This window comes from Homo sapiens, chromosome 5 (genome assembly GCF_000001405.40).
Source record: "Homo sapiens chromosome 5, GRCh38.p14 Primary Assembly".
Classification (NCBI taxonomy): Eukaryota; Metazoa; Chordata; class Mammalia; order Primates; family Hominidae; genus Homo; species Homo sapiens.
The window spans coordinates 149,304,782-149,323,616 of NC_000005.10; the positions used below are offsets into that span (position 1 = coordinate 149,304,782).

General features: G+C 47.9%; 1 protein-coding gene across 6 annotated transcripts in view, besides 4 other annotated features; it reads left to right on the plus strand.

Moving 5' to 3' along the window:
- Window positions 1-18,835, plus strand: part of AFAP1L1 (actin filament associated protein 1 like 1) — a 71,779-nt gene that overhangs the window by 32,923 nt on the left and 20,021 nt on the right. For 4 of the 6 annotated variants that reach the window (XM_047416723.1, NM_152406.4, NM_001146337.3 and 1 more), the window contains 10 exons: window positions 1,525-1,623; window positions 2,621-2,832; window positions 5,175-5,354; window positions 7,331-7,423; window positions 11,040-11,133; window positions 11,370-11,522; window positions 12,948-13,159; window positions 14,801-14,946; window positions 15,610-15,682; window positions 17,825-17,936. In XM_047416723.1, coding sequence (XP_047272679.1) covers window positions 1,525-1,623; window positions 2,621-2,832; window positions 5,175-5,354; window positions 7,331-7,423; window positions 11,040-11,133; window positions 11,370-11,522; window positions 12,948-13,159; window positions 14,801-14,946; window positions 15,610-15,682; window positions 17,825-17,936 — 1,374 coding nt within the window. Of the gene's footprint in view, window positions 1-1,524; window positions 1,624-2,620; window positions 2,833-5,174; window positions 5,355-7,330; window positions 7,595-11,039; window positions 11,134-11,369; window positions 11,523-12,947; window positions 13,160-14,800; window positions 14,947-15,609; window positions 15,683-17,824; window positions 17,937-18,835 lie in introns of those variants that run through there. The other 2 variants (NM_001323062.2, NM_001323063.2) reach the window with 2 other exon arrangements.
- Window positions 12,436-12,990: an enhancer, noted in NCBI's record as "H3K27ac-H3K4me1 hESC enhancer chr5:148696780-148697334 (GRCh37/hg19 assembly coordinates)". NCBI's record gives its function as "activates a minimal SCP1, AML or CMV promoter by ChIP-STARR-seq in primed H9 embryonic stem cells {active_cell/tissue: H9 hESC(primed)}" and the evidence as "EXISTENCE:reporter gene assay evidence [ECO:0000049][PMID:30033119]".
- Window positions 12,991-13,543: an enhancer, noted in NCBI's record as "H3K27ac-H3K4me1 hESC enhancer chr5:148697335-148697887 (GRCh37/hg19 assembly coordinates)". NCBI's record gives its function as "activates a minimal SCP1, AML or CMV promoter by ChIP-STARR-seq in naive and primed H9 embryonic stem cells {active_cell/tissue: H9 hESC(naive and primed)}" and the evidence as "EXISTENCE:reporter gene assay evidence [ECO:0000049][PMID:30033119]".
- Window positions 17,333-17,859: an enhancer, noted in NCBI's record as "H3K4me1 hESC enhancer chr5:148701677-148702203 (GRCh37/hg19 assembly coordinates)". NCBI's record gives its function as "activates a minimal SCP1, AML or CMV promoter by ChIP-STARR-seq in primed H9 embryonic stem cells {active_cell/tissue: H9 hESC(primed)}" and the evidence as "EXISTENCE:reporter gene assay evidence [ECO:0000049][PMID:30033119]".
- Window positions 17,860-18,385: an enhancer, noted in NCBI's record as "H3K4me1 hESC enhancer chr5:148702204-148702729 (GRCh37/hg19 assembly coordinates)". NCBI's record gives its function as "activates a minimal SCP1, AML or CMV promoter by ChIP-STARR-seq in primed H9 embryonic stem cells {active_cell/tissue: H9 hESC(primed)}" and the evidence as "EXISTENCE:reporter gene assay evidence [ECO:0000049][PMID:30033119]".

Sequence of the window (18,835 nt, forward strand, 5' to 3'; positions counted from 1 at the left end):
CTGGAAAGGCGGGCTCCGAGCCTCACTTGGGAGATAGAACTGGGTGTCCCAGTCACTGGGAATGTCAGTGCTGCCGTCTTCAGGAAACAGATGCACAGGAGGGGCTAGGAGCCCAGAGCAGCATTCTGAAGAGCAGTGTGCTGTGAGAGTGAGTTGGACTGGGTGAAGGAAGGCTTCCTGGAGGGGGATGTGCACCATCCCCTGAGCTGGCACCCTCAGTTCTGATCCAGGCTCTGTCACCAGCAAACTGTGTGTGGCTTGCTTCCTTGTCTACAAAATGGGGCTGATATCTACCTCCCTGCCTTGTGGGAATCAAAGGAGACAATCACAGTAATAACAGCTGGCACTTGTTTAGCACATTGTGTGTGCCAGGCGCTGTCCTAAGAATTGACGTGCATTGTATCACTAAGCCAAGGTGGGAATTGCTCATGTCACTTTCCAGATCAAGAATCTGAAATACAGAGAGGCTTTTCTTTTTGAGGTCACTCAGTAAATGATAGAGATAGGATTTGAACTCAACTCTGATTGATCCCAAAGCACATGCTCTTAACCATCTGAGCTTCAAAGTATGTTCCAGGGACTGCCTGCATCAAAATAACCTTTTAAAAACATCATTGAATAAATTTTTCCCAACTCATTGGAGTCCAGTACATTTTCTATTTTTATGGATGTTTAGAATTTTCCTATTAAATAGTCATTTTTTAATGCAGATTCCTCAGCCCAGCCCACTCCAATGAACCAGAATCTCTGGAGATACAGCCCAGGGGTCTGCATTTTCAGACAACTCCCAGGTGATTCTGATACAGAATACAGTTTGAGACATCCCACTAACCCCAGCACTGCACCGTACTACCTCCCAGCTCCAAATGGGAAGGTGTTGTGAAAATCTGCACAGGTAGTTGTAGTCACTATTATGCACGATATTATTATCTCCTCTAGTCCAATTCTTTCTTTGCAGTCCCAGAGGTTTAGAAGGAAGTAAGAGGAAGGGCTGAGGTGGAAAAAGATGAGAAGGCAGAGCAGGGAGGGAGGTCTCAGCCCAAGCAACTGGTACATTGCTCCCTGCAGTGCAAAAATCAGAGCTGCGACCAACACACCACACACACACACACACACACACACACACACACACACACACACCATGCACACATGCAATGCTCTGGGGTCATTGAGGAGGAGCTGACCACTCACTGCCTGAGAAAGTCAGAGGAAAGATCTTTGATCTGGGTCTTGATGGATGAGAAGTCCTCTGGTAGAAGACAGAGAGCACAGGGAACAGCATGAATACAGGCCGGGAGATATGACAGCCTGGCAGGGCAGTTTCTGGTGACAGGAGCAGAGGGACTGTGGAGAGCTAGAACAGATGAGATGCAGAGAGGAGGCCTCACACCCTGGCCTGAGCTGCTCAGAGTGCCTGCTGTCTCTTCCCTGAGGTGGAGCAGGGGTGTCAGGGTCTCCCCCAGTCCTGGCCCCTGGAGTCTGCCTGCATTTCTCCAAAGTGCAGCTCTTTCTGACAACCCACAGATGGCTGCAGCCCCTCACACTCGATTGTGGATGGCTACTATGAGGACGCAGACAGCAGCTACCCTGCAACCAGGGTGAACGGCGAGCTTAAGAGCTCCTGTAAGTACCAGGTGGGCGTCCAGATGCTGGGCAGGGCTTCTGCCCTTGCAAAGAGCAGGCCTTGTCCTGGCCCTTAGCATGGGTGTGCCCACCAGCCCCTCACCCAGACCATGGTCACTAGAGAGGCCCCAACACCCTTGTTTTGGGTGACCCCAGCACTCAGTGGAAAGACCGCTGGAATGGGAGTCAGAAGGCCTGGATCTAACCCTTTCCCTGACTTTTGATAACTGATCTTAGGTGAGTAATTTCTTTTCGCTGAGCCTCAAGTTTCCTTATCTATAAAATGGAGATTTGCTGGGTTATTGCTGAAAATAACGAGAGACAACAGATGTCAAGATGAAGGGGTATGACAATAGCATAAATTTATTGAGCATTTATTGGGTGCCAAACACTTGGCTAAACACTGTCCATGCATTGGTCTTCAAATAGCCGGCTGAAGTGGGTACTGTCATTTATTATGATCATTTTACTGATGAGGACACTGAAGCTCTGAGAAGGGAAGTAACCAAGATCGCAAAGCAAGGGATAAATCAGTACAACAAAGTGCAAAAGTAGGGGCCAGCCAGGTGTGGTGGCTCACACCTGTAATCCCAGCACTTTGGGAGGCCAAGGCAGGTGGACCCCCTGAGGTCAGGAGTTGGAGACCAGCCTGGCGAACATGGTGAAACCCCATCTCTACTAAAAATACAAAAATTATCCAGGTGTGGTGGTGGGTGCCTATAATCTCAGCTACTTGGGAGGCTGAGACAGGAGAATCGCTTGAATTCGGGAGGTAGAGGTTGCAGCGAGCCGAGATCACGCCACTGTACTCCAGCCTGGGTGACAGAGCGAGATTCCGTCTCCAAAAAAAAAGTAGGGGCCTTAGTCATTACCAGTGTCATGCCTAATGCCCATGCCTTCCTAGCCTCAGTCCCCAGTGCAGGGATCGCTGCAGAGGGGTGAGAAGGTGCTTCCCCAGGATGGCACAGTGATGGATCCTTTCCCGTGACGCCTGCAGATAATGACTCTGACGCAATGAGCAGCTCCTATGAGTCCTACGATGAAGAGGAGGAGGAAGGGAAGAGCCCGCAGCCCCGACACCAGTGGCCCTCAGAGGAGGCCTCCATGCACCTGGTGAGGGAATGCAGGATATGTGCCTTCCTGCTGCGGAAAAAGCGTTTCGGGCAGTGGGCCAAGCAGCTGACGGTCATCAGGGAGGACCAGCTCCTGGTGAGTGGTCAGCAGCAGCCATGTGCCTCGGCCTCACATGGACTTGCATGTGGGTGTGTCTCTACATACATGTGGATATGTCTGCCTTGGGCATACCTGGATTGACTGTGTGCACAGAAGCTCAAAGGCCCCATGCTCCCAAGATCAGGACTTTCCCCACTGGAGCAGAATTTAAACACACACACACACACCCTGTGCCTCTCTTTCTCTCTCTCTCTCTCTCTCTCTCTCTCTCTCTCTCTCTTAAATTTAAAGACCTGGGCTAGGCACGGTGGCTCACACCTGTAATCCCAGCACTTTTAGAGGCCAAGGCAGGTGGATCACTTGAGGTCAGGAGTTCGAGACCAGCCTGGCCAACATGGTGAAACCCCATCTCTACTAAAAATACAAAAAATTAGCCAGGTGTGCGCCTGTAGTCCCAGCTACTTGGGAGGCTGAGTCAGGAGAATCGCTTGAAACCAGAAGGCTGAGGTTGCAGTGAACCGAGATCATACCACTACACTCCAACTTGGGCAACGGTGAGAGATTCCATCTCAAAAACCAAAAAAAAGACCTGATACAGGCTTTACCATGTTTTTGTTTTGACAAAAAAACAGAATTTTTAATCACTTTTAAATTTTTGTTGTTTTTCATTATGCAAGTAAATGTGCTTATTTATAAAACTAGAGAAAAACAAATGAAAAGTGATTTTTAAAAAACTATTGACCAAACATCAATAATTTCCTTGACCAAGAGATAACCACTATTGTAATAGCTTTAGTGTACACATTTCCACCCTCATTTCCTTACATCTGTCTTTTATAAAACGAATCCCCTACAAAACTCAATCGTTCTATTACTTGCTTTTTTTAAGAAGGATTTTTTTATATTTACCATCTCTCATCCTATCATTTCATAAAAGAAAGAGCACCTTTAATTACAAAGTAAGAGGATAAACATAATTTCAGAAAAAGAATAGCTTCTCTCCCCAGAAATCTGTTGACAAGCCTTGCCCAACATCAATGCATCTGAAACATGACCTTTTCTCACTCCAGGGCGGCACTAGTCCAGGGGACATGACCATCCTCTTTCCAATCCTACCCCTTCTATATTTTTCTCCACATATTGCAGTAGCTAGGACCTCAAGCACAATGCAAACAGAAGTGGGAGAGCAGGCATCCTTGTCTCAGTCTAGAGCTCAAAAGGGAAGTCACTGTTAAGGCTGAGTATGGTGGCTCATGCCTGTTTTTCCAGCACTTTGGGAGGCTGAGGCAGGAGGATCACTTGAAGCTAGGAGTTCGAAACCAGCCTGGGCAACAAAGCAAGACTCCGTCTCTACCAAAAAAAAAAAAAAACCAATGTTTTTTAATTAGCCAGGCATAGTGGTATGCACCTGTAGTCCCAGCTACTTAGGAGTCTGAGGCAGGAAGATTGCTTGAGCCTGGGAGTTTGAAGCTGCAGTGAGCTATGATCACAGCACTGCACTCCAGCGTGGGTGATAAAGCAAGACCCAGTCTCTAAACATAATAATAATAATAATTTACCATTCAGGATGACATTTGCTGTGGGTTGTTTGTAGATGAAAATGTTCCTTATTATTACATTAAGGAGATCCCTCTATTCTTAGTTCACTTAAATGGATGCTGAATTTTATCAAATACTTTTTCTAGCTCTATTCAGATATGTGATTTCTGGCCTTTTTTTCTATTCATATGATTAATAATACAGTTGATCTTTGAATGGTAAACCGCTCTTGCATTCCTAGAATAAACCCCACTTGGTCTTGATGTAGCTGCTTTTTATATACGTCTGGAATCCAATTGCTAGCATTTTGTTCAGGGCTTTTGCGATTGGGTTATGAGAGAAATTAGCCTATAATTTTCTCTTTTCGTAATATCATTGACTGGCTCTGTTATGAAGGTAATACTGGGCTCATTAAAAAAATGGGGAAGTGAGAATCATTATTCGTAAACTATTGACTTCCCAAGGCCAACCCTCCATCGCTGTTAGAATTGTCTCCCAAATTCCTGCCAGATAGATTTTTAACTGGCTTCCTCCCGAGCCAGCCCATTTCTTCTCTGGTTCTTTAGGCTAACCTGGTCTTCCTAGGATTGTGCTACATTCTGCCTCTTCCTAAATAGGTAGTTATGACTGAAAATTGCCCAAAGATGCCTCCTCCCAGGCTTCTCTTCCAGGGTGAACAGCCTGGACCCTTCAGCTATCCTCACACAGTGCCCATGGCTAGGCTGGGTGGGGGAGGTCTCTAAAGGGAGGTCGGGCTTCCCCCGAGCCTTTGTGTGAGGATGTCTCCCTCCTCTACCCTCTACTTCAGAAGATCCTGATGTGTTTCTCTCCCTGTCCAGTGTTACAAAAGCTCCAAGGATCGGCAGCCACATCTGAGGTTGGCACTGGATACCTGCAGCATCATCTACGTGCCCAAGGACAGCCGGCACAAGAGGCACGAGCTGCGTTTCACCCAGGGGGCTACCGAGGTCTTGGTGCTGGCACTGCAGAGCCGAGAGCAGGCCGAGGAGTGGCTGAAGGTGCGTGGCCTGCACCTGACCTTCCCGCCTTCTCACCCTTTCTCTCTTCCCCAAGCCAGCCCTCAGTAGAGCTGGCTCCTGTCCCTGGAAGAGCCTCTTGCTCAGTGCCTGAGCCCAAGTGCCCTCTGCGTGGCTAGGGCTTATGTATGGAAATGGGCCTCGGATATCTCCAAGAGGCAGACTTCATGCTGGAGACCTGTGTCCCTTCTGGTTATTTGAATTCCCTTTCCAAATCCTTACTGTGGGCTTATTCAGCCTGCACTTGTATACCTCCTGGAACTGGAGGCTTAGTATGTACAAAGGAAGCTGATTTCATCATTAGACCAGTGAATTCTTAAAACAACAACAACAAAGGAAAAATCCTTCCTTGCCTTGAAACGTACATCCTTATAATGACCACCCATGGGCCAGTTTCTGCCTCTGCAGCTACACAGAACAATGAGAGTCACCACAAAATGAGCACTTACTTTGTACCATGCATTGTGCCAAGAGCTTTACATACGTGACCTCATTTCTGCTTGAAAATGGGACAAAATATTATTGTTCCCATTTCGCAGATGAGGAAACTAAGACACAGCTTTGAGAACTTATGTGACTTGCCAAACGTCACACAACCAAAGTGGTGGGAGCCAGAATTTGAAGCTAAGTAGTAAATCTACTCCAAAGGCCATAGGCAGGATGACATAGTGATGACATGGGAGAGGGGACTTTGTGGCACCCATACTGGAGTGCAAGCCCCAGGCCTAAAGGGCACTTACTGGCTGTGTGACCTTCTGCAAATGACTTTGACCCTCTGTGCCTGTTTTTTTCATCTGTGAAATGGTCCTTGGAAGGATTCTGGAGAGCACTTGGCACAGCGCCTGCCAGGCAGTGAGTGTGTGGTAACTGTCAGTAACTACTGTTGTGATGACTGCGATGCCCCACCCCCCATTCCTTTACAGCAGACCTCATCCTTGCACCGCCTCTACTTCACTCTGACACCATCCTTTCCTCCTCTGATCTTCCTGCTGGAACAATGAAACCAAACACCTCCCTCTCTACCCAGCCCCTTCCTTCCTGTGATAACCAGCCCCCATGATGGAACATTTGGTGTTTCTCATTACCCCTTTGTCTCAGGAGGGAAAGAAGGGAGAGAACCTGCCTGTTGGGGGAGCCTGTACCCTCCACGAGCTGGTTGGGTCGGCAGACGAATCCCTAGACTGGAGTTAAAAGAGACTTGCCTTGACATTGATCCTGGGCGGCCGTTAGCCCAGAGGTTAACAGTGGGCAGCTGAACTGCCTGCATTTAGTTTCTGGCTCTGCTGCCACCTAACAGGTGGCTTCCCCTCTGCGAGGCTCATCATCTTAAGCTGTAACTCAGGGCTTACAAGGCTGGTGGGGGATAAAATGGGATAATCCACAGAAAGCCACCAATTAGGTGAGCAACAAATGGTAGCTGTGATTATTCCCTGATCTCATGCTTATTGCTGTGTGGCCTTGGCAAGTGAGCGGATGCCTTTAGGAGATGGAGGTGATAACTCCAGCTACCCTACAGGTTGCTGTAAAGGTGCACATGGTCACAGAAGCAGGTCCCTCATGCTTGTGAGGCTTTATGGTTCCCATCACTCTTCGCATCCATGGTCACACTGTCCTCAGGCAACCCAAGGAGGGAAGCAGAGGACTAGTATATTCCCATGTTGCAGATGTGGACACTGAGGCCCAGAGCAGGGAAGTGGCTCTTCCAAGACCACACAACTAATTAGCAATAAGCCTCTTGGTCCCCATCCTTGTATCTTTTCAGCCCAGGGGACAGATATGGGAGAAAGCCTTTACAAACCCATGTGCCCCACACATATGCAGGTAGCTGTGTCAGTCCATCTGTTCCCCACAGTGGCCCTGACCCTCTGTTCTACAGCATTCACCACACAGTCCCCATTCTTCCTTTGCATCAACAGCTTCCCTGCCCACCCGTTCACAGCTGTGTGTCCTCTTCACAGGTCATCCGAGAAGTGAGCAAGCCAGTTGGGGGAGCTGAGGGAGTGGAGGTCCCCAGATCCCCAGTCCTCCTGTGCAAGTTGGACCTGGACAAGGTATATCTGTCTCCACTAAGTCTTCCCCAGGCCAGGCAGTGGCCACTCAACACGGGCTCAACCCCAGGGGAACTAACTGGCTGGGGGGAAAGTCAGGCAACTGCCAAACTGTAGGTGCCCAGCACAGAGCTGGCACAACAGTAGGTGCTTAATAAATGTCTCCTGAATTCATGAATGCATGAACAAACGAGTGCTTATGCCCAAAGTGCAGTACAAGCCAGAGGAGGGAGTGATGCACCCTGCCAGGACAGGAGGAGGTCACATTGCAATTGTGCCATGAAAAATAAGTTGAAATTTGTCAATTAGAAAAAGAGGGTGTATAATCCCAGCACTTTGGGAGGCCAAGGTGGGCACATCACTTGAGCCCCGGAGTTCAAGACCAGCCTGGACAACATAGTGAGACCTCATCTCTAAAACAAAAAAGTTACAAAACAATTATCCAGGTGTGGTGGCACATGCCTGTAGTCCTCACTACTCAGGAGGCTAAGGTAGGAGACTTACTTGAGCCTGGCAGGTGGAGGCTGCAGTGAGCCACGATTGCGTCACTGCACTCCAGCCTGGGCAACAGAGTGAGACCCTGTCTCAGAAAAAAGAAAGAAAAGAGAGAGAGAGAAAGAAAGAAAGAGAAAGAGAAGGAGTAGGCCGGGCGCAGTGGCTCACGCCTGTAATCCCAGCACTTTGGGAGGCCGAGGCGGGTGGATCACCTGAGTTCAGGAGTTCGAGACCAGCCTGACCAACATGGAGAAACCCCATCTCTATTGAAAATACAAAAATTAGCCAGGCATGGTGGCACATGCCTGTAATCCCAGCTACTCAGGAGGCTGAGGGAGGAGAATTGCTTGAACCGGGAGGCAGAGGTTGTGGTGAGCCGAGATTGTGCCATTGCACTCCAGCCTGGGCAAAAAGAGCAAAGCTTCATTTAAAAAAAAAAAAAAAAGAGAAGGAGCGTGCCTGTTTGGAACATGAGAGAAGCAGTCATTAGCCAGTTGGTCAGGCTGTTAGCAAATATGTCCCAGTACCTACACATTGCCAGGTATTGTGGGTAACAAAGGGCCTCAGACCCAAGTCCTCCCCTTAAGGAGATTACAGTCAAGGGGAAGGGTTAAGACCCACAGACATGGGCCTTGCACGATGTAATCGAGGCTAGTATTTATAGACTGTGACTGCATGCCCTGCAGTGTACTAAATGCTTTATGTGTATTAACTGAGGTGATTTTCATAACAACTCTTTGGGTAGGTACATTTTCAGAGGAGAAAGCTGAGACACAGATTTGCCCAAGGTCACATAGTAAATAAGAACCGTAGCCAGGATTTGAACCCAGACAGTCTAGTTCTTGATGACCATGCTGCCCCTCCTCTCAAGGCCAGGATCCTGAGCACCTGCTTGACACATATCCGGGGCACCCCAGGAACTGTGCTAGCCACTGAAATGCAGTCCAAACACAAACAGGTGCAAGCCCTGCCCTCACAGCATTTCCAGCTCAGTAAGAAGCAGACATGAATCAAATAGTCACACGGACTTATAAATGCCAAGCTGTGTAAGTGCTAGAAGGGAAAAGTACCAGGTACCCTGGGCCCCTGCCTCTGCCTCAGCACCCCAGGAAGGCTTCTCTGAGGAAGTGACATTTCAGATGAAGATGAAAAATTAGCAGGGAAGAGGAAGGAAAAGGCATTGTAAGCAGAGGGAAAAGGTGCAGGAGCAGGAAGAAGCATGGAACTGAAAACGGCCAGTATGGCTAAGCTCAGAGAGAAAGGAGAGCCCACCAGCCTATTAGAGTATCCCAGAAAGCTACAGTGAGTGGAACAGGGGCCCACGCTGGCTGGAGGGGCAAGAAGGATGAGGGAAGACGGGCACCTATGTTGAGCCTTAAGGCATAGGCAAGATTTCACTGAGGCAGAGGTGGGCCAAGGGGAGGGAACAGAAGCAAAGGTATGGGATGAGGCAGAGTCACCAGGAGTGGAAGATGGGTACTCATGTGCCCAGGTGGATGCAGGAGGAGAAGCTCAACCCTATCCTCACTTAGCCTTTGCCATTGGTGAGGCCGGAGGGAAAGCAGCGTTGACAGTGTCAGTGTGTGTGAGTGTGTGTGTGTGCACGCACTTGCCAGCACATGCTGAGGTGCAGTTTGAAAGATGTGTAGAGGGGAAGAAGAAGCAAGCTTGCAGAGTTGAGCTTTCCTGTGGCTGAGCATCCACAGGGAGGGTAACTAGAATGTTGGGGGTGGTATTTTGGGTGGAGAGTGAGGGTGAGGATGTGATATTGGTGGGTCTGTTCTCCATAGAATCATGTGATTGCAGTGTCACCATCGAGTTCTTTCCAAAGTGCTCATATTACCTCTTTGTATTTGCTCTATCTGATGAAAAACTTACCATCTGTACACCATTGCAGAACACATAGAGCCATAACTTCTGTTTCACCATTTGAAGAGGTGATTCTTTATTCTTGACAGTTCTGTCCCCTTTCTGACAGCTGTCATGTTTCCAGCCCTTTGGAAACTGAGAGGTGCACATGATCTCCTGTCCTCTCCGTCCCCCGGTGCTATGCTTATGGTGAAGCATAAGCTGAGCCTGGTTTGAGAGGATCTTGGCAGGAAAGGCTTTGGGGCCTCAGAGCTCTGTAATTCCACCTTCTTAAGTGGGTGGATGTCATTTAATCCTGGCCCAAGTGTGGCTGGCACAGTTCAGCTTCTTGAAGAAAGATGGCAGCACATCACACAGGTGTTAGAAATGATACAGTCCATGGGCCTTCACTTGAGCTGGCTCCGTCACAGCAGCCCTCTGAAGTGGGTGGAATTCAAGTGAAAAAACCCAGCCTTGGGGAGACAGAAGGACTTTCCCACATTCCCACAGCTAATAAGTGGTAAGAGAGTCATCATTGCTTCCACTCTACATCCCGTGGTACCTAATAGACACTTAATGGACCTTGTATGAATGAATCGATGAATGGTCTAGAGTTGGTGTCATGAGTAAAACTAATTTGGGCTGGCAATGAAATTGTTGACATGTTGTGTGTGGGTGTGTGGGTGTGTGTCCCCTTCCCATCCTCTCCTCCGAGTTAGGATCATAATGGACTCCTGCTGGTCACCAGGTCCCGCCATGACTGTTTTGAAAATGTCTGCCAGCTCATCTCTTTTTCTCCATCCTCACTGTCATCTTGGTTCATGCTCTTGTCGAGTCTCATCATGACCAGGATGACATTCTTTTAAGTGGCTCTTCTGCTTCCAGTCTTGTCTGCTTTTGTCTGTCCCCACAATGCCACTGGAAGTAACTTCCTAAACCAATTTGGATTACATGAGTGTTCCACTTAAATACTTTCCCAGCTCCCTGTCACCTGCCAAATACAGTCCAAATTCCTAAGACATTCATTTCAAAGTGTTATAATTAATTGCCTCCCTCCCCAAATGGACTGTGAATTGCCCAAAGACACAACCATATCTAAGTCATGGTTGTCTTTTCAATACCTGGTATGGTATGAGGCACAGGATAGTTGCTGACAAACATTTGTTAGCTAATTATCATGTGCTGGGGGAGTTGGAGGGAGATTGAACCAATAAAGGGAAATTTGGGTACTTCTGAATGTGCCCTCTGATGAGGGACTGCCTGTGTCCCTCCTCAGAGGCTGTCCCAAGAGAAGCAGACCTCAGATTCTGACAGCGTGGGTGTGGGTGACAACTGTTCTACCCTTGGCCGCCGGGAGACCTGTGATCACGGTAGGAGCCTCTGGGGGCTCAGGCTGGGGAATGCTGGAACTGGGCCGGGCCTTGCCCATGGGCACACAGCGGCAGAGCAGGTTCTGACCATTCTGTAGACCTGGGTAAGGTGACCTGGCCTGCCATCCCTGGAGCTGCAGGCCCATCCTGTATGCAGGCTGAAAAGGCCACAAGGAAGACTAAGGATGGGTGGGACTCAGGGCTCCCTCCACTCCCCTGACCCATTTCCCCAACAGGCAAAGGGAAGAAGAGCAGCCTGGCAGAACTGAAGGGCTCAATGAGCAGGGCTGCGGGCCGCAAGATCACCCGTATCATTGGCTTCTCCAAGAAGAAGACACTGGCCGATGACCTGCAGACGTCCTCCACCGAGGAGGAGGTTCCCTGCTGTGGTGGGTCCAGGGCACGGGGAGGAAGGGTGCTCAGGTCCTGTGTGCGCGGGCTTTGGGGGCTGAGGCCAGGAGACCTCATGCCTCGTCCACCTCACCCCCAGGGCAGGGGAGGGAATCCAAGCCTACTGGGAGGCTAAGCCCCACTCCATTAACACTCTAGGCCTTCCCATCACTTTCCTTCCCAGAGGCCCTGACACTCAACGAAAGGAAAAGCCAGCTGACCACTGTATTTCTATGCTCCCTGTGACCGTAGCCCAAATCACTGCCCATCCCTGGGCCTCAGTTTCTCAGTTTCCTCCACGATAACAAGACAGGGGTATCTTATTTTCCAGCATAGAACGTGCCAGGTTTATAAGTAACAACCCATATTATAGGGAAATTTATTGGAGAAAAATATTTAGGTACTTTTTATTAAAAATGCATTCAATGTGAATTAAAGGTGATTTGAAGGTGAAAACATTATTTTGCTCATGTAAATGTAGCGTTCCATGTACTGGAATCCAGTTTTTAAAAATCGTATATTTTGGATATGCAGTAATATTCTAACCCTGAAAAAAATATTATAAAAGTACATGGCAAGGCCAGGCACAGAGGCTCACCTCTGTAATCCCAGCACTTTGGGAGGCTGAGGAGGGAGGATCACTTGAGCCCTGGAGTTTGAGTCCAGCCTGGGTAACATGGTGAAACTCTGTCTCTACCAAAAATACAAAAATTAGCCAGGCATGGTGGTGTATGCCTGTAATCCCAGCTACTTGGGAGGCTGAGGTGGGAGGAACACTTGAGCCCAGGAGGTTGAGGCTGCAGTGAGCCGTGATAGAGACACTGTATTCCAGCCTGGCTGACAGAGGGAGACCCAGTCTCAAAAAATAAATACATAAATAAATATATGGCTACAAAGAAATATTTTGTAATTAGTGAATCAGAGTGCGTTATGGTAAAAATAGGCAAATTTAAATCTAAAACATTAAGAGGGAATTCTAAACCTGTGGGTCATTAGCTACACAGCAGCTGTGCCTTGGTCAATTTTAAGATTATGTGGGTGAGACATTTTTGTTCCCACATGCTGCCACTGGGTGTCAGCATCATCCATTCTTTTCCATCTTTCAGTAACAGTTTTGATTTGGGGAGAAAAGGCAAAAGAGTTGTGTTTTTTATACACCATATGCAGTAGTTCCTGCCCTTTTCATCAAGGTTGGTGTGGCCCAAAGGCTGTGCAGAGATGTAGGAATGCCATTATCAGTCCATGTTTCACAGCTAAGAAACAAACTCAGAGAAATGCACACCCAAGGTCACCCTGAGGTCACAGGGGAAAGAGAGCTGACCAGGACCCCGAGGCCTTCTTTCCAGCAGACACATGGAGCCGCCTTGCGTCCCCATGCTGTCCCAGGGCAGGCTATGGGAACCTCACACCATTGTCTCCTCCAGGCTACCTGAACGTGCTGGTGAACCAGGGCTGGAAGGAACGCTGGTGCCGCCTGAAGTGCAACACTCTGTATTTCCACAAGGATCACATGGACCTGCGAACCCATGTGAACGCCATCGCCCTGCAAGGCTGTGAGGTGGCCCCGGGCTTTGGGCCCCGACACCCATTTGCCTTCAGGATCCTGCGCAACCGGCAGGAGGTGGCCATCTTGGAGGTGAGAGGAGAGGGTGGGACGTGGGTGGCTCTTGGTCTGGGGACTCTGGCCTGAGTGTCATGTTTTTGTTTGGGGGAGCCCTTGCTACTGACACCATGGGGACTGAAGGGGAAGGAAAGCAAGCCTCACTCCTGTCAGGTGACCCAAGTAGATTATAAGACAACACACAGGACACCCACTTAATTTGAATTTCAGGTAAGCCACGAACATTACCTGAAATGTTTTCATAATAAAATAGGCATGTCCCACGCAACATTGGAGCTTTATTGATACTAAAATATTATTCATTGTTCATCTGACATTCAAATTAAACAAAACATTCTGTATTTTTATTCACTAAATCTGGCAGCCCCAGAACCAAGGTTTGTTTTTTCTCCCTTACCTTAAAATCCCAAGCCTGAAAGGCATTTAGTCTGGTCTAACCATTCAGATTCTGGAATCCCCTCTAAGACTTTTCACCAGTACCCTCCTCTGGTGGAGGAGAAGGTCCACTGCCCCTCCCATTGAGCAATTCAAATTTTAGAAAGATTTTCCCCATACTGAGTTGAAATCTTTAAGCTCCAGGAAGGCAATAATTAGGCCTATTCTGCATACTTTTGTTTTTCCAGAACTCAGCATGATGTCCAGCACTAGAATACTATGGGCTCTAGAAATATTTGTTGAACAAATGAGTGAATGAAGTGTGATTTCATTTCACCGATTCACTGTCCTTCTTACTCACGGGCACTAGCCTCCTCTCTGAGGTCATGCAGAATACGTGGACTCTCTCTTCCACATGGCAACCCTTTGGCAATTTAGAATTTAAAATGTTAACACTACAGGAAAACAGAAAACTACCTTCTGCCATTACAGATAAGGAAACTGAGGCCAGGGCAGCCACATGCTTTATCCAGGGGTCCACAGAGGGCCAGTGGTCTCTTAGTCTTGTCCTAGAATCTGACCTCTTGGTCTTGTTTTCTGCCCAAGACCCCCTGCCTCTCTCAGTTCTTAAATTTCAAAAAATATCGCCTCCGTAACTCACTTTTATTTTTGGTAGTTTGAGATAGGTCTCTTATTTATCTTATACACGAAGGTTTCTGGCAAAAAGTGTGCTTTATGTATTCAAGTTTAGCATTTGTGTGCTAATTTAATTTTATAAGATGCTCTTTAAATGAGAATTAACATAAGTCCGTGTTTAGCTGACTGGCAACTTCTTGGAGATTTTCCTATACACAGTATTGTACTTATTTGGCAACTATAACACAAGAAACTATTTTGATTAAGTTATATGAGAAATGGCCTCTTCTAATAAAAAGTAAATATTTTTTAAAAAATTCAGAGAACACCCAAATGTTGGTTTTATATTCTAATGGTTGGGGAAGGCTCTGAGAATGGAAAGTGAGGGCAGGGAGGCCTCTGTCTTAGAGAGGTCATCAGGGAGGGCCTCCCTGAGGAGGTGACATTTGATTGGAAACCTGAATAGATGGAAGAAGGGAGCCTCTTGGATTTCTGGATGTGTGCTATAATCTTATTCCTCTTTGACCCGAGTATCGGGTACGTAGTCAGTACTTACAAATATTTCTGGGTTTGGCTGAAGTCAACAGGTCTCCAGGAGCCCTGACAGTAGGAAAATGAACTCCATCTTTGCCTCCTGTCCTTCAGGCAAGCTGTTCAGAGGACATGGGTCGCTGGCTCGGGCTGCTGCTGGTGGAGATGGGCTCCAGAGTCACTCCGGAGGCGCTGCACTATGACTACGTGGATGTGGAGACCTTAACCAGCATCGTCAGTGCTGGGCGCAACTCCTTCCTGTAAGTGTCAGCTGCACTGGCCACACCTGCCCAGGACCTTTCCTGTCTCCATCCCTCTCAGAGGCTGAGTCCAGCCCTGGGCACTGGGAGGGAAGGGAGGAGCTAAGGAAAGCTCCGCTTCCTTGGTAAGCTGGAATGAGTGTCTTCCTCTTCCAGCAAAGAGTGGGGAGCTGGCTGAAGGAAGTAGCCCAGAGTCAGAGGCAAGCTGTGGATGGAAGGAGCAAAAGTAGAGAAGCCTTGGAGTAGTGGCCTGGGCTCTGCCCTCATGTCATGGGACTTTAAGCTTTCACACACTGGAGCATGGGCACGTGGCTAGTATATGGCATTTGGTACTAGAAGAGCCAAGTTCGAGTCCCAGCTCAGTCACCACCAGCAGTGGAAGCTTGCACTGGTTGCTTGCCATCTCGGATCTCTGTTTTCTGACTCATAGAATGGTGGTGATGAATTACCTGCCTTGCAGGTTGTTATGAGAATCACATTGGTCCTGTCTGTGACGCCCTAACACAGCCCATGACACAATGCTGCCTGCCATCTTGCTTTTACCAATCTTCTGATCTGCCTTAAGAGTTTCTGCCAGAATCAATGAGAGTGAGGACACGAAAGCACTGTAAGCTGCAAAGCATCATTGTCATTGTCATTGTCATCGTACATTTTATTTTCTAGATATGCAAGATCCTGCCAGAATCAGTGGCCTGAGCCCCGAGTCTATGATGATGTTCCTTATGAAAAGATGCAGGTACAGTCCCTTGGGGCTGCCCAGGAATGTGGCAAAGGCCACTTATTAGCTCTCCCTCTTTCTGCTCCCTTTACCTTCTGCCTCAGAAAGATCATTTTCATTTAAGCAGCAGTAGCTAGAAGGGGAGCCCCTTCTTATCATAGAGCATGGCTCAGGATGAGGAATCCCTGGCACAGGAGGCTGGGTGGTGTGGTGGAAAGAGACCCAGGTTGGGAGGAAGAAAGGGCTGTGCAGACTCCCAAACACTACCAAAAGGTGAGGCATCGTCTCCGGTTTGAGCAAGTTGCTGGGGCCCTCCTCCTGTTTACCACTCTGTGAACTTATCCTGCTGATTCCGTGGTGTCTGGGGCAGGTCCTGACTCTGGGACCACCCCGCAAGCCTTCACCTGGTGACTTTGTGATCTGGGAGCTTCAGCTCCCAGGCCAGTCTCCATGTTTTGCTTGCTAAGCCAGGGAGATACCAGCTTACTGATTTACAGTGAGGCCTGTGTAGCCATCACATGACCTGGAATGCTCCTGGCAGCATGCCCTGTGCTGTCTCCTCCCTCAGAAAGCAAGAGGAGAGCCACATTCCAATCAGACGCTGGTGGGTGGGTCAGGCCTCACAGTTAGCAGGAGAGAGAGGCAATTAAGCTGCCGAGGACAACAGATGTGTCTGCAGACAGGACCTCTGTCTTGGACAGTGCTGCATGACACACTGAGTTTTCACCTCTAGGACTCTCTTTTCTAGAAATTTGTCCAGTCATCCTTCTGTTCATATGGTCTTTCTTCAGACTCAGATAAACCTGTGGATGCAGCTTGAGGTTTTTCTCAGTTGCAGAGTTTAGTGGCAAGACAGCTTAGCACTTAAGGATGTGAAGTTTGAGTCAGACTCAGGGCTGCTGGTCTTCACTTCCTGACTCCAAAAGGATATGATAAAACCTACCTTCTTGGATAACTGCAAGAATTAAATAATACTTTATGTAAAAAAGTTTAGGCGGGGTCTGGGTGCCGTGGCTCATGCCTATAATCCCAGTACTTTGGGAGGCTGAGGTGGGTGGATCACTTGAGGCCAGGAGCTCAAGTCCAGCCTGGCCAACATGGTGAAACCTCGTCTCTACTTAAAAACTACAAAAATTAGCCAGGCACAGTGGCATGTGCCTATGGTCCTAGCTACTCGAGAGGCTGAGGCAGGAGGATCGCTTGAACCAAGGAGGTGGAAGTGAGCCAAGATTATGCCACTGAACTCCAGCCTGGGCAACAGAGCGAGACTCTGTCTCAAAAAAAAAAAAAAAAAAAAAAAAACAACGTTTAGGCTGGGCGCAGTGGCTCACACCTATAATCCTAGCACTTATAGGAAGCTGAGGTGGGTGGATCACTTAAGCCCAGGAGTTTGAGACCAGCCTGGCCAACATGGCAAAACCCTGTCTCTACAAAAATTAGCTGGGCATGGTGATGCACATCTGTTGTCCCAACTACTCGGGAGGCTGAGGTGGGAGGATCACTTGAGTCCAGGAGGTTGAGGCTGCAGTCAGCCATCATCACACCGCTGCACTCAAAAAAAGAAATTAGGACAGTGCCTAGACATTGGAAGGTCCTATACAGAGAAGTAGATAGTACTGTTGTTGACAACATCATTATTATATTACATTATTATCATATTTAACTCATGGTTTCCTAAGCTTTCACTGGATTTTTAGTATTCTTAATATTCTTCATGCACAAATGTATAGTTAATCTATTAAGTTATGTCACTTCTATCACTGGCTCATCTCATCCAGGACTTTTCTTCTTGAGGGAAGACTGTTTTCTTTTTGAGGCAATTCAGAAAATCAGGATACTTCCAAATGTTCTAAAGACAAAAGTATCGATGATAAATCAAATATAGCCACCCACAGTCTTTTGAGACTTTCTAATTTTCCTCTCAGCAGGTGCTGCAGTTTAGGGTTGCCTTCTGCTGCCCCCCAGCAGAAAGGTATGAGGTTCAAATGATATACTGCTAGCAAAAGTGCTTTATGATTTTTGAGTGCTATGCAAGTCTAAAAATGTAAGACCAAGATCTCAGAGCAAGAAGACTCCATACTGAGCAAAGACCGCAATACACCCTGCATTGATGAGTCTGCGCCTGCCTGAACTTGACTGTCTTCCTCCATCTCCCACCAGGACGAGGAGCCCGAGCGCCCCACAGGGGCCCAGGTGAAGCGTCACGCCTCCTCCTGCAGTGAGAAGTCCCATCGTGTGGACCCGCAGGTCAAAGTCAAACGCCACGCCTCCAGTGAGTTGTGTGTGGGCCTCCCCTGCTGACTAGGGAGGAAGGAAAGGAAGCAGTCTATAGGAGGGATCTCAAAATCAGTTTCCCTGGTGGGTAAATAAATGAGCAAAGTGAGATGCAAGAAAATACTCTACCGTAAGAAAAATCACAGAGCAAGCACAATGATAAAGGGCAGCTAGCATGTGGCCTCAGAGGGAAAATGACAGGGAGTTGGGGGGTGGGGAGGTACTGTAGGAAACCGGTACCCAGTTTTCTCAGGTCCCAACTATAGGGGAGGCTGCTGCTCAGCTCCAGCAGATGATCCCTATGCAGCAGTACCAGGCCCCTAACACCAGATTTGCCAATTACTTAAAAGAGGCCAGAAATCTAGAATTTAGGTGAAGTCTACTTATTTTTTAATATCAGCAACTATTTTTTTTTAATTTAGCACCAAATGAGGCCAAATAGAGAGAGAGAGATTGATGACAAGCTGTATCTGTTTCAGAGGCTAACAATTTGTGATTTCTGAACTGGGGTAGTAAGTGGAGAACTGAACCTATCCAAATACCCTGGAGCCAGCTCCCATGAAAGCCACAGCTCACCTTGGTGTCCCACCCTAGCTCTGCCTAGCACCCCCCAGGAGCTCAGTGAATTGCCTGATTACCACACTGCACAATAATGACTAAGTACACCAGGCAACTCTGTTGTAAATTCTCTTTTACTTCCAACAGTAATCTGTGCTTCTGTGTGATTTATCTTTATGAACAAGCCAGCTTCCTGTGGGACAGCATGTTCCAAAAGTTTTTTCTTTGTTCCTTTACATTTCTTCCCCCTGCATCTCAACAGAGTCAAGTTCTGTTCTGTGCTTTTTGAAAATCTACTTTTATTTTTTAATACCTATTTTTAAAAAATACTTTTCTGTA